Source organism: Homo sapiens, chromosome 11 (assembly GCF_000001405.40).
Source record: "Homo sapiens chromosome 11, GRCh38.p14 Primary Assembly".
In the NCBI taxonomy this organism is placed as follows: domain Eukaryota; kingdom Metazoa; phylum Chordata; class Mammalia; order Primates; family Hominidae; genus Homo; species Homo sapiens.
Window position 1 is genome coordinate 893,759 of NC_000011.10, and position 12,428 is coordinate 906,186.

Consider the following 12,428-nt stretch of genomic DNA (forward strand, 5'->3'; position numbering starts at 1 on the left):
CAGAAAGAGGGGCTCCAACAACCAGAGACAGCCCCACGTGTGTACATCACACTTTAGACACCTAAAGACATGGCAGATTAAAAAAAAAAAAAGCTGGGCACGGTGGCTCACGCCGGTAATCCCAGCACCTTGGGAGGCCGAGGTGGGCAGTCACCCGAGGCCAGATCGGCTTGGCCAACATGGCGAAACCCCGCCTCTACTAAAAACACAAAGATTAGCAGGGTGTGGTGGCAGGTTCCTGTAATCCGAGCTACTCAGGAGGCTGAGGCAGGAGAATTACTTGAACCCAGGAGGTGGAGGTTGCAGTGAGCTGAGATCGCACCACTGCACTCCAGCCTGGGCTGAAGAGCATGACTCTGTCTCAAAAAAAAAAAAAAAAAAAAAAAAAAAAAGGACACACCAGGTAAGAAAAGGCCCCCAGCAGGCCCAGGACACTGATCCGAGGGTGGCCGCAGGGCACTCCAAGGGCCCCACCTGCCTGGTGTAGCTCAGGGAAGGAGAGGGCAGGGCACCGGGCAGGGCAGGAGACAGGGAGCAGCAGTTAGGCCTCCTCTGGCCCCTGGAGGTGGAGGGGGCAGGAGCATCTCAGAGCAGGCTGGCAGTGTTCCCCAAGGGATGGCACTAGCCTCCCTCCTAGCACGGCCTAGGAGCAGCCGTCAGGACCCCAGGCCGGCCGTGTGCACACGCTGGTGCCCATGAGTCTACCCTGCAGGTGGCCTCTGCAGAAACTGGCCTGGAGCACATGCTGCTGCAAAGCTGGGTTTCAGGGTGATACGTCCACACTGGGCAGGCTCTGGCTGTTACCGCACGTAGGAGACTGTCACTCTCACGCTGCAGGCCCCTGGGAGCAGCCCCATCTGGGGAGGAGACCCACCCCTTAGGGGATGACAGGAGGACTGAGAGTGGGGCAAGAGCCGGCCCCTGGTGGCCCCAGGTCCCGCCCCACTCCAGCACAAGCCTCTGTGGGGCTCAGTGAGAACCGGGTTAGGTCAGGACGAGGTGACGGTTCCTCAGCCAGTACCCAGAGGCCCTGGTGCTCCCAATGGTGCCAGGACCAGGGCCTGGCATGTGCAACTGCTGCATAGTGGCAGCTCCTGTTTCCCTGACATGGCCCAAGTGGGACTGTCATTTTCCAAGCCAAGCCCCCGTCAATTCCTGGGTAACTCTGGCCCACATCATCTGGTGTTAGTTCTGCCGGCTGCAATGCAGGTACAGTCCTCAGTGGGGAGCAGTGTCTTTGGGCAGCCCGTCCTCACGCCTCTGCAGCTGTGTCCACAACTCTATGGGTACCAGAGGCTGTCACACACTGTGCGCCACTTAGAGGTGGTGGTCAAGGAGGGTGCTGCCCCCGCCCCTGAAACACCAGAGCAAAGTGAGCAGAGTAAGCCCTGCCCAGATGCCTGGGGAAGCTGACCCTACCTGGGGGTCTCCTGCCTGGTTCCCAGCCTGTGGGCTCTATGCTGTCTGCAGGTACCCACAGCTCCCCAGGATGGTGGTGGGATGGCCTTCCTCCAGGGCCACACCAGACCTGAGGGCCAAAAGGTGCCCCCAGCCACTCTGTGAGGGGCCCAGGGAGCCTGGGTGTCCACCCACAGTCAGGCTCACGGTGTGGCCCAGAGCTGGCCTTCAAGGAGGACAGGTGTGAGTCAGGTCTACCCAGGCCCCCAGGAGACAACATGGGCCCCGGAGGCGACGTGAGCTGCAGCTACAGTGCTGCAGCATTGCCCGGAGCGCTCCTCACGACAGACCCCCTCATACTGCCAGCTGCTGGCACTGGTGGCTCCGAGCGCCCCTAACACAGCCCCTCTGGGCATGCGGACAACTGTAAGGGGCTGATCCAGAGCTCAGGAGGGACCAGAGGCAGCAACATCCCTTCTAAGGGCACTGCCAACAAACTCTGCAGGAAAAGCTGCCCCTGAGCCTCTGTCCAGGGCCCAGTGCATGGGACCGAACCTGCTGAGCCCAGTCTCGGGCCTGGCACAATGCGGGCTGGGGTCCCAAGTGGTGGTCAGAGGCAGGACTGTGCTGAGGCAGCTCCCAGGCAGCAGAATGCCCAAAGGAATCTGCCAAGCTGCTCTGAGGAGCCTGGATACTGCCTGCCCCTGCCATGCTGGCAGCTCCCGACCTTCCTGCAGCTCCCCACCTTCCCGCAGCTCCCCACCTTCCTGCAGGAGCCTGGACACGAGGTGCTCGCAGGCTGCTCCCAACCGTCCTCCCCTGCAGTGGCCACTCCGGCTCAGCAATCCCCCTACTGCCTCCTGCCCTCCCACCCTGACGTTAATGACCCGTCGAGCCCTGACACAACGAGGCCGTCTCAGCACCCGCAGCCTCCACCCCAGACACAACGAGCCTGTCTCAGTGCCCCCAGCCTCCACCCCAGACACGAGCCTGTCTCAGCACCCCCAGCCTCCACCCCAGACACAACGAGGCTGTCTCAGCACCCCCAGCCTCCACCCCAGACACGAAACTGTCTCAGGGCCCCCAGCCTCCACCCCAGACATGAGGCTGTCTCAGCACCCCCAGCCTCCACCCCAGACACAACGAGGCTGTCTCAGTGCCCCCAGCCTCCACCCCAGACATGAGGGTGTCTCAGCACCCCCAGCCTCCACCCTAGACACAACAAGCCTGTCTCAGCACCCCCAGCCTCCAATCCAGACACAACGAGCCTGTCTCAGCACCCCCAGCCTCCACCCCAGACACAAGGCTGTCTCAGCACCCCCAGCCTCCACCCCAGACATGAGGCTGTCTCAGCACCCCCAGCCTCCACCCCAGACGTGAGGCTGTCTCAGCACCCCCAGCCTCCACCCCAGACGTGAGGCTGTCTCAGCACCCCCAGCCTCCACCCCAGACACAATGAGCCTGTCTCAGTGCCCCCAGCCTCCACCCCAGACACGAAACTGTCTCAGGGCCCCCAGCCTCCACCCCAGACATGAGGCTGTCTCAGCACCCCCAGCCTCCACCCCAGACGTGAGGCTGTCTCAGCACCCCTAGCCTCCACCCCAGACGTGTGGCTGTCTCAGTGCCCCCAGCCTCCACCCCAGACACAATGAGCCTGTCTCAGGGCCCCCAGCCTCCACCACAGAAACTAAGCTGTCTCAGGGCCCCCAGACTCCACCCCAGACACGAGCCTGTCTCAGCACCCCCAGCCTCCACCCCAGACACGAGCCTGTCTCAGCACCCCCAGCCTCCACCCCAGACACAACGAGCCTGTCTCAGCACCCCCAGCCTCCATCCCAGACACGAGCCTGTCTCAGCACCCCCAGCCTCCACCCGACACAACGAGCCTGTCTCAGCACCTGCAGCCTCCACCCCAGACACGAGCCTGTCTCAGCACCTGCAGCCTCCACCCCAGACACGAGCCTGTCTCAGCACCCCCAGCCTCCACCCCGACACGAGCCTGTCTCAGCACCCCCAGCCTCCACCCCAGACACGAGCCTGTCTCAGCACCCCCAGCCTCCACCCCAGACACGAGCCTGTCTCAGCACCCCCAGCCTCCACCCCAGACACGAGGCTGTCTCAGCACCTCCAGCCTCCACCCCAGACAAGAGGCTATCTCCTGAGGAGCCTCTGGTGCCATCTCACTGCCTACCTAATGCTCTGAAACGGAAATGAGTGTGGCAAATCTCTGGTTAATAGACCCACTCTCCCAGGATTAGTGAGAAGGCTGGAAGCAGGCGGGCTCTGTCTCCTGCTGAGACACCCCTCTCCTCAGAGGGTAATGGAAGGTCAGCCCCGGCAGGGTCCACTGCCCACGGCTCAGCAAGAACCCCCCAAGGCAGGGCCTGGGATTGTCCCTCAGCCAGGAACGCAGGCACCTGATCCTCCGGCAAAGCTGGGGCCCCTCAGAGGCTGTGCAGACGACAGGCTCCCCATAGCCTTGCGGACATCCTTACCCCCACTGCAGTGCGCCTCCCAGCCTCCCTTCACACAGCTCCTTGTCTTCCTGCTGCTGCCAGGCCTCCCAGGAGGGAAGCAGACAGAGGAGCCTCTTGGACACATCCGGTGGGGGGCACACTGAGGGGTGCTGGCTGAGGGAGTGGGGTCTGGGCACCAGGATCCAGTGGGCAACCACATTGAGGGGTGCTGGCGGAGGGTGTGGGGATCTGGGCACCAGGATCCAGTGGGGAACCACACTGAGGGGTGCTGGCGGAGGGTGTGGGGGTCTGGACACCAGGAAACAGGACTCCAGGGCTCTTCTGGAGCCGGGGCCTGGGAGCAGTTCCGGGAAGAGCCTTGGACTGCTGCCTCCCAGCCAGTGAGTCCCTCAGAGCACAGTGGGAGGAGCGGCAGGGCTGCAGAGGCTGGAGCCACTCACAGGGGCAGGGCCTGTACCGGCTCCAGGCTGAGGGTCCTCTGAGCCCCTGGGCAGGAATCCTGCCCTACCCCTCATGGGCTCTGCCTCAACAATGTCCCTTCCCTCCCTCAAGCTTAAGATCTGTGTGGGGACGCTGCCCCAGGTGGGCAGAGCCTGGACCTGCAGCTCCTTTGCCCACAGCAGCAATGGGATGAAAGTGCCATGGCTGCTGCAGGGGACACCATGCAGCCTGAGCTCAGGCCCGGGCTCTTAAAGCCCAACCAGAACTACTTCAGGTGGTGGGGGCGGGGGAGCCGATTCCAGAACCCACGGCTCACACAGAAGGCTGAAGGGCTGGACAGCTGCCATAGGGCTCTGCTGTCCAGGCACCCGCGGTGGAGACCGCACCATCCTCGCTCGTTGCAACCAGTGGAGTGAGAGGAGTCCACCTGTCCTGAGCATGTCGAGGACGCCCCCTACCAACATCCTGGGGAGCAGTACTGTCCCCCTGCTATCTTTTGCGGGGCAGTCGCCCACTTTGGCAGAACAGGGAAGGTAGCTGTTTCGGTGAGTTGGCAGGGCTGCTTGGGCAGGACCAAGGAAGGGCCATTCCTCAGGGCTGTGGTCAGTCCAGTCCAGGCCAGGTGGGGGAGCCATGGCACTTCCTATCACTCCCTCCGTTCCTGGTCATGTGGCCCACAGGGAGTGGGAACCCGCGAGGGTCATGGGTGGGCTGGGCTCTGATGTGGCAAAAGGAGGCGTGAGGGAGTGCTGTGGCCGCCTCCCGGTGGAGTGGACTGCTACAAAGCCTGGGGGCCTGGGAGGCATTCCCCAGAGGCCGCCATGGCGGTCCACACCACGGGTCCTGGCCGTGCTCAGGGACACCCCCAGGAAGGCTCCCCGAAGCTCAGTGAGGAGTTTCTGCTTGTGTCCAAGCTCAACCTGCTGTCACCATCTGGGCCATCTTTCTCTTGCCAAGACCTCATGAATGAGGGTCCTCGAGTTCCTCTGACCGCCCAAGGGAGGCATCAGGCCTGGCGCAGCAATGCGCTCGGAGCCGGCTGCCTGCCACAGGCTGCTTCCACTTTTCTGTTCGGAGCCGGCTGCCTGCCACAGGCTGCTTCCACTTCTCTGAGCAGGTGTCCATCTTTTGTGCAGCCCCGTCCCCACCCCAGGCACAGGGACTGTGGAAGGAAGGCCCTCCCCAAACCCCTGGTCTTTCCTCCAGCCTCCTTCAAACACCAGGGCCAGGAGGAGGGCCACCCACCACCACCTGTGCCCACTCACACGCGCTTCTGGCTTAGCAGCTGGTTCCAGACCTCCACCACGAAGCCATCGAAATGCTGGTTCTGAAAGAAGCAGTCACAGGTGAGGAGGGCCTGGAGGCCCAGGAGGGATGGGTGGAAAGACAAGAAGCCCGCCACCTCGGCCCACATGGTCAGGTTGTGGCCTGGTCACTCACGAGGCAAGACCCAAGCCTGGGCTGTATGCCCAGAAGGGCCTGTCTGAAGGAGGAAGTGTGGGGGTCCCAGAGGAACAGGAGTGGAGGGGCCAGTGGTCTCGTGCATTCTGCCGACCCATGCACCTCCCCCAACCCCACCCCGGGGGTCTGGGGGCTCCCTGACCCGAGGCCCAGGCATACTGGCAGCCAGCAGGGCTGGGTCCCCTCCCAGGAGGGTAGCAGGCAGCTGGGCTTTGCCCAAGGGAAGAACCCTGGCCCAGCAGACAGGTCTCCCATGCCTGGGACCTCCAGAGGACCCATGGTCAAGAAAGCGAGCAGCAGCCTGAGCCTGGCTGATGCTGCCTTCCCTGGAAGATGGGGGCTGCACCAGAAGGTGCCCAGGGCAGAAGACAGAAAAGCCGAGTGGAGGCCTCGCGGGAGGCCCAGCCAGACGGCCAGGTGGGACCCGGGGGGCTGTGCTCAGAGGCTGGAGCAGCACACAGGTCTCACCTTTGCCACCTGGACCACGGTCTTGCTCAGCTCCTCTATCTCATCCTCACTGTCTAAGACGTTCCGGAAATCATCGTAAGTCCAGTCCTCAAACAGGAGCCGAGGCACTGCAGGGGCAACAGACACACACGGGGGCCGTGACTGGGAGATGCTGGAGGGCCCCTGCTGTTTGCTGCCTCAAAAAGGCATCCCCTTGGCCTCCAGAGGGAAGTGAGACCAGACAGTGAGGGGCAGGGAGGCCACCTGGAGCACCCACATGTCCAGAGAGGATGTCCCAGAGCCTCACAGGCTGGAGAGGGAGGGGTGGTGGGGAAGGAGCGAGCAGACACTGACAGTCCTGGTCCCCTGACACCAGCTCCCCACACGGCTCAGCATGGTTGTGGCCCCACCTTACAGGAGGGAGGCTGGGACAGACTCTGGCTGCTCCAGCTCAGCCCTGTCACCTGCTTCTAGCATCCCCCAGAGTCTCTCCCTTGGCAACTTGTGCTCTTAATCCACTGCCTCTGAGGCTGCTACTGGACGTGGGGACACATGTCCCCCCTTCCCCAGCCGTGAGCTACAGGGGCACAGATGGGCCAGGGTCAGCATCACCCTCAGGCCAAGCCCAGGGCTTGGCCCCAGCTGCCCTGATAGGACTCATCATGTGAATGAAGGAAGAAATGGGATTGAGAACAATTAGGGCAATGCCACTGGCCAAGGAGGTGCTGGCTTTGGAGGGCCACAGCCTGTGTGGGGAGGAGAGCTCAGGACTCCAGCCAGACTAAGGGCTGTGAATGCCAGGCCAGGGCCAGCCTCATCTCTGAGCGGTCAAAGTAACCTGTGCCGCAGCAGCACAGCCGGGTGATCAGGAACACGTGGAGACCCCAGTGCCCACCTGTCCACCCCCGCAGTTTGAGCCATCAGGGCCTCCACTCCTGGCCTGCCGCACTTACCTATGTGCAGGCCCTTGGCATGCTTCCTGACAGCTCGCATCCACCCTGTGGGACATGGAGGGGACAGTCAACACAGGCACGTGCGCCCAACTGGAAGACCCAGCCTACCTGAGGAGGAAAACGTGGCAGCCGCACAATACGCAATGGGAAGGGCAGGGGCGGGCAGGCAGGTGTGAGAACCCACCCCTCCCTGGCCCAGGGCTGGCTCTCCACACCCTCTTCCTGACCCCAACTCTCCACCCTTCTGGCCAAGGCCCCCTTCCTGACCCTGCAGAGCAGCTCTGAGCTTACCCTCCCTGAGCTGGGACAGCTCAGAGCCTGTGGCCGGCCAGGGGAACAGGCAGCTGCATCCTAGGGCCTGGGGACGGTCAGGGTTTCTCCGAGCTGAGGGATGGCCAGACCCGCCAGGCCCTGACACTGGCTGACATTCCATCACCTCCCCACGGTTCTCTCAGTGTCAGGGAAAACCACTCCTGCTCTCTGAACTCCAAAACTGCCTAACACTTCCCCTGCCATTTCTCTCTGTCCGAGCCCAAACGCAAGGCGCAGCCACGTAAACTCGGGCAGACGTCATCAGGTCAGGATGTGCCATCAGGAGGCAGCCTCCGCCTGAACCCCACCTTCCTCCCTGGCATTGAATGAAAATCGCTGAGAGAGGGACAGAGGAGGAGAAGCCAATGGCCCGTGCCGTTTGCTGCCCAGAGGCTGCCTGAGTCATTGTAGAGCCTGTCCTGCACACGCCTGTGTGCAGCCCGGAAGTGCAAGGGAAGGCCACCCTCACAGCCACCTGGACCACACGCAGACCTGGGCGGAACACTCTGAGGCACCAACTTGGCCTTGCAGAGGGTCCCACCGTGGCGACCACCTCAGAAACCCCCTCTACCAGGCCTGCCCTGCTCCACACTCACCTTCCCACTTAGCACACCAGCCCACACCATGGGCCTGCTCTGCCGGCTGGGCCCCAAGGGGTGAGGGCGTGGTTCTCACAGTCACCACACTCAACACTCACACCCACTGTCTCACACTTAGACATGTCCACACCGACAGTCACATTCAACACACTCACAATCTCTTCTCTCCCACATCATCAGTCTCACACTTACACACTCACATTCACACTTAAATCACGCAGAGACACACACACACTCCCATACAGAGACACCCACAGAGACATACCTACTCACACACACACACCCCTGCTCTCGCACTCACACTCTTTTCAGCCTGTGGGGCAAGCACAGTCAAGCAGGAAGGATGAGAACCTTGGTCCACGTCGTGGAGGCCCGTGACCTCAAACATCTCACGGCCACGTCTCTTCAGCTGCAGCCAGACGGGTGAGATCTGTGTGAACTTGCTCCCAAAGACCTTGGTGACATCGTAGCCATGGCTGTTCCACTGGCAAAAGATGGAGACATCAGACGGAGGACAGGTGAGTGAGCACCTGTCTCACCATGGTGCTGTCATTCTGGCGCCTCTGGACGTGCCCAGGGCTGGCCAGCGTAGACAGATACCAGCCCGGACTGACATCAGCTCCTGGCCTGGGGTATCCTTCTCCTACTCTGGACTGCCACTCACAGCCTGGGACCCAGGCCACGACATCCCTTTCACCAAAAGTGACTGGTGCTTGTCTTAAGCCCCACCTGGAGCTAGTGCACACCACTGCTGCAGGCTGGCAGCTGGGAACAGCAAGAGAAGAGGAGGCTGGGTGTGAGAACCCACCCCTCCCTGGCCCAGGGTTGGCTCTGCACATCCACTTCCTGACCCCAGACGACCTGCGAGCCCACCTCTGGATTCAGGGGGAACCCACAGAGATCAGCACAGCAAGCCCCTGGAGAGACCCCCAGGGTCTTACACTCTGACATCTCCAGAATGGCATCTCTCCCACCGTAGCCTCACAGCAGCAGCAGCTCCGGGAGATCAGAACATAGACCCCCATCACTGACTGGCCAGAAGAGGCCATCACGGGGCCAGGGCAGCCCACCTGAGCCTCAGGACCTCCCTCTGCACTGTGAGGGCCCCAACTTACTGGAGTGACATAGCCCAGTACATCCCCAGCAAAGTGTCTGTCCCGGGCCTTTGCCGAGCAGTAGCTGCGATGCTCAAGAACCACACTCTCAGCTTTGAGGTCCGTCACCACCAAACCCCGGTCTTGCACCGGCTTATCTGAAAACTGACTCTGAAATAAAAGGAGTGAGAGAAAAGCCTCAGTCATCTGTCCACAGTGTAGAGCACAGAGCCCCACCCAGCAAGTCCCTTCCATTCAGCCAGCAGCCGAGTCTCTGGATCCACACAGTGCTGCTGACCCGGAGACCCTGTATGTTGAGGATCGAGGCCACAGCAGGCAATTCAATTCAGAAGCACTCTGGCCGTCAACAGACACTGGCCGACGGTACAGGGCCTTTCCCACCCTTGCTCCGGGCTGGAAGGCAGGCAGGCAGACAGACAGTTATGGTGGCTCCCTCCTTGCATGTGAGGGTGGACGGTCTGCACCAGCTCTGGCCACTCGATACCCATCCGGGCACTCCAGGGCCATACGCTTTGCTGGACAAGAACATGCCAGGTGCGCTGGGTGCATTGGCTCACGCCTGTAATCCCAGAACTTTGGGAGGCCGAGGCAGGTGGATCACCTGAGATCAGGAGTTGGAGACCAGCCTGGTCAACATGGTGAAACCCCATCTCTACTAAATATGCAAAAATTAGCCAGGCATGGTGGCGGGCACCTGTAGTCCCAGCTACTCGGGAGGCTGAAGCAGGAGAATCGCTTGAACCTGGGTGGCAGAGGTTGCGGTGAGCCAAGATCGCGCCATTGCGCTCCAGCCTGGGCAACAAGAGCAAAACTTCACCTCAAAAAAAAAAAGAAAAGAACATGCCAGGCACACGCCACCATGCTGGCCAACCACTGCCTGCCACCGCCCCCGCCAACGTGACCCTGCTGGCCAACCACTGCCTGCCACCGCCCCCGCCAATACGACCCTACTGGCCAACCACTGCCTGCCACCACCCCCACCAATGCAACCCTGCTGGTCAACCACTGCCTGCCACCCCCCTGGCCAATGCGAGTCTTTTCCTGCCATGTCACACCTGCCCCTACTCCACCTCTGCTCCTGGAAACCTTCCATCCAGTTATCAACTTGTCTCTTCTGTCCACACTCTGTGGCCCGGCTCAGCCTCCCCTTGACCTCGCCCCAAGCGGCCCCGTGAGAGAGAGATGTCCACTGCATGGTTTATTTGCCCCCATACAGCACAGAGAAAGCATCTGCCAGTCCAGGACTAGGTCACAGTTACAGTCCTGTGGCAGGGTCTGGCCAGCGGCATGGGGACTGCTGGGGCTGAGAGGTGGTTCTATGAGTTTACACCCTTGAAGGTGCAATCCCCAGGGCCATCCCAGGGGAACGTCCCAAAAAGCATGAGGCAAACACAGCTCAAGGCCATGATAAAGACAGCAAGATGAAGATGCAGGTGATATAAACGAGAGGTAGAGCATGGAAACTGGCAACTGGCACATAAAACAAGCCCCACGTGGGGTGAGTGGGGAGGCACCCTGCTTGCCCTCAAAACCTGGCTCCAGAGGCTGCTCACTCAGAGGTGCTGACTGGCCAGAGCCCCAGAGCCACACAGGCCACCCACCGGCTGCGGGCTCATCAGGTGCCTTTGTGAGGAGCCAAGCCCCTCGAGCCTCCTGGCTCACAGGCCCCAGTGGACAGAAAGAAGAGGATGATGGATCAGCCCTCAGCCAGTACAGTCACCTCAAGTCCCCAGGCCACCCTTACCTTCTCCAGCAGCGTCTTTGAGGCGGCTTTTTTGGCATCTGACTTTGACAGGGTAGTGTGAACAGGGCTGCAGGCCAGGGCAAGCCAGAGGAGGTTGAAGAGTGTCCGCATGGTAGGTGTGTCACAGTAGGGTCCAACCTCGGGGTCCAGAGGGCTGCAGGGAAAGCAGAGCACATTCAAACAACCGGCAGAGAAATGCAGCACATGGGCAACCCCTCTGCTGATGGGGCCACTTTCTCCTAATAGGGCCTGGGTCCTCATGGCACTGGATGGACCCTTGGCCACTGGGACAGAGCCCTGACCTGGACCAGCCCTGGCGGCCACAGTCTATTCTCCAGTACTCCTGGGCCTCCTGACTGAGCCACTGGTTCCTCCTAGATACCCAGAAAGAAGCTTCCTCACCATCAGCCACAGAACCCTCCCCTCACAGCCCAAGGCCGCCCTGACCACCACTGGCAATCTAGAAAAGCATTGGTTCCCACCTCCTCCTTCAAACCCAAAGAAAGCCAAACCATGGTAGGGCTTAAGTGTAAAATAATGAAGCCACAGGCTGGGCCACGTGGCGGCTCACGCCTGTAATCCCAACACTTTGGGAGACCGAGGTGGGAAGATTACTTGAGCTCAGGAGTTCGAGACCAGCCTGAGCAACATAGTGAGATCCTACAAAAATTAAATATTTGGGCCGGGTGCGGTGGCTTATGCCTGTAATCCCAACACTTAATGGGAGGCTGAGGCGGGCGGATCACCTGAGGTCAGGAATTCATGACCAGCCTGACCAACATGGTGAAACCCCATCTCTACTAAAAATATAAAAATTAGCCAGGTGTGGTGGCGTGCACCTGCAGTCCCAGCTACTCGGGAGGCTGAGGCAAGAGAATCGCTTGAACCCAGGAGGCAGAGGTTGCAGTGAGCCAAGATCATGCCACTGCACTCCAGCCTGGGGACAGAGCAAGACTCCATCTCAAAAAAAAAAAAGAAAAAAATCGTAGGCTCAGAGAAGCCTACGATAATAACGATGATGGTGGTGATGCCACGTTAAGTACTAGGAGAAAATATAGCTACCTATTTATGCAGTCTCAGGGTGGAGAAGGCTTTTCCAGCTATATGAGCAATGGGAGAGATTAGGAAAGAAAATACCACTGGAGTAGAACTACATACAAATGTAAGACTTTCATTCAGGAAATAAAGAAGGAAATGTGAAGACAAATAATAAACCAGAAAGAATATTTGGAACACACTTGACAACGGATTTCTACCCATAATCTATTCATAACATGCAAATAAATCTCACAAATCAAGAAAAGACATTCCAGTAAAAAATGTCCCGGCTGGGAACGGTGGCTCATGCCTGGAATCCCAGCACTCTGGGATCCCAGCCACCACCACACCTGGCTAATTTTTGTATTTTAATAGAGATGAGGTTTCACCACATTGGCCAGGCTGGTCTCCACCTCCTGACCTCAGGTGATCTGCCCACCTCG

The 12,428-nt window shown here is 60.3% G+C and overlaps 1 protein-coding gene across 20 annotated transcripts in view, besides 3 other annotated features; it reads right to left on the reverse strand.

Annotated features, from left to right (window-relative positions):
- Positions 1–12,428, reverse strand: part of CHID1 (chitinase domain containing 1) — a 47,356-nt gene that overhangs the window by 25,900 nt on the left and 9,028 nt on the right. For 19 of the 20 annotated variants that reach the window (XM_011520300.3, XM_011520299.3, XM_047427479.1 and 16 more), the window contains 6 exons: positions 10,948–11,101; positions 9,204–9,353; positions 8,440–8,572; positions 7,178–7,222; positions 6,246–6,352; positions 5,582–5,643 (listed from right to left, as the gene is read on the reverse strand). In XM_011520300.3, coding sequence (XP_011518602.1) covers positions 5,582–5,643; positions 6,246–6,352; positions 7,178–7,222; positions 8,440–8,572; positions 9,204–9,353; positions 10,948–11,101 — 651 coding nt within the window. Of the gene's footprint in view, positions 1–5,581; positions 5,644–6,245; positions 6,353–7,177; positions 7,223–8,439; positions 8,573–9,203; positions 9,354–9,945; positions 10,021–10,947; positions 11,102–12,428 lie in introns of all 20 variants that reach the window. The other variant, NM_001142676.2, reaches the window with a different exon arrangement.
- Positions 202–704: an enhancer, noted in NCBI's record as "H3K4me1 hESC enhancer chr11:893960-894462 (GRCh37/hg19 assembly coordinates)". NCBI's record gives its function as "activates a minimal SCP1, AML or CMV promoter by ChIP-STARR-seq in naive H9 embryonic stem cells {active_cell/tissue: H9 hESC(naive)}" and the evidence as "EXISTENCE:reporter gene assay evidence [ECO:0000049][PMID:30033119]".
- Positions 3,852–4,362: an enhancer, noted in NCBI's record as "H3K4me1 hESC enhancer chr11:897610-898120 (GRCh37/hg19 assembly coordinates)". NCBI's record gives its function as "activates a minimal SCP1, AML or CMV promoter by ChIP-STARR-seq in primed H9 embryonic stem cells {active_cell/tissue: H9 hESC(primed)}" and the evidence as "EXISTENCE:reporter gene assay evidence [ECO:0000049][PMID:30033119]".
- Positions 9,662–9,832: a silencer, noted in NCBI's record as "fragment chr11:903420-903590 (GRCh37/hg19 assembly coordinates)". NCBI's record gives its function as "represses an EF-1alpha promoter that drives an FKBP-Casp9 reporter gene in an ReSE screen in HepG2 liver carcinoma cells {active_cell/tissue: HepG2}" and the evidence as "EXISTENCE:reporter gene assay evidence [ECO:0000049][PMID:32094911]".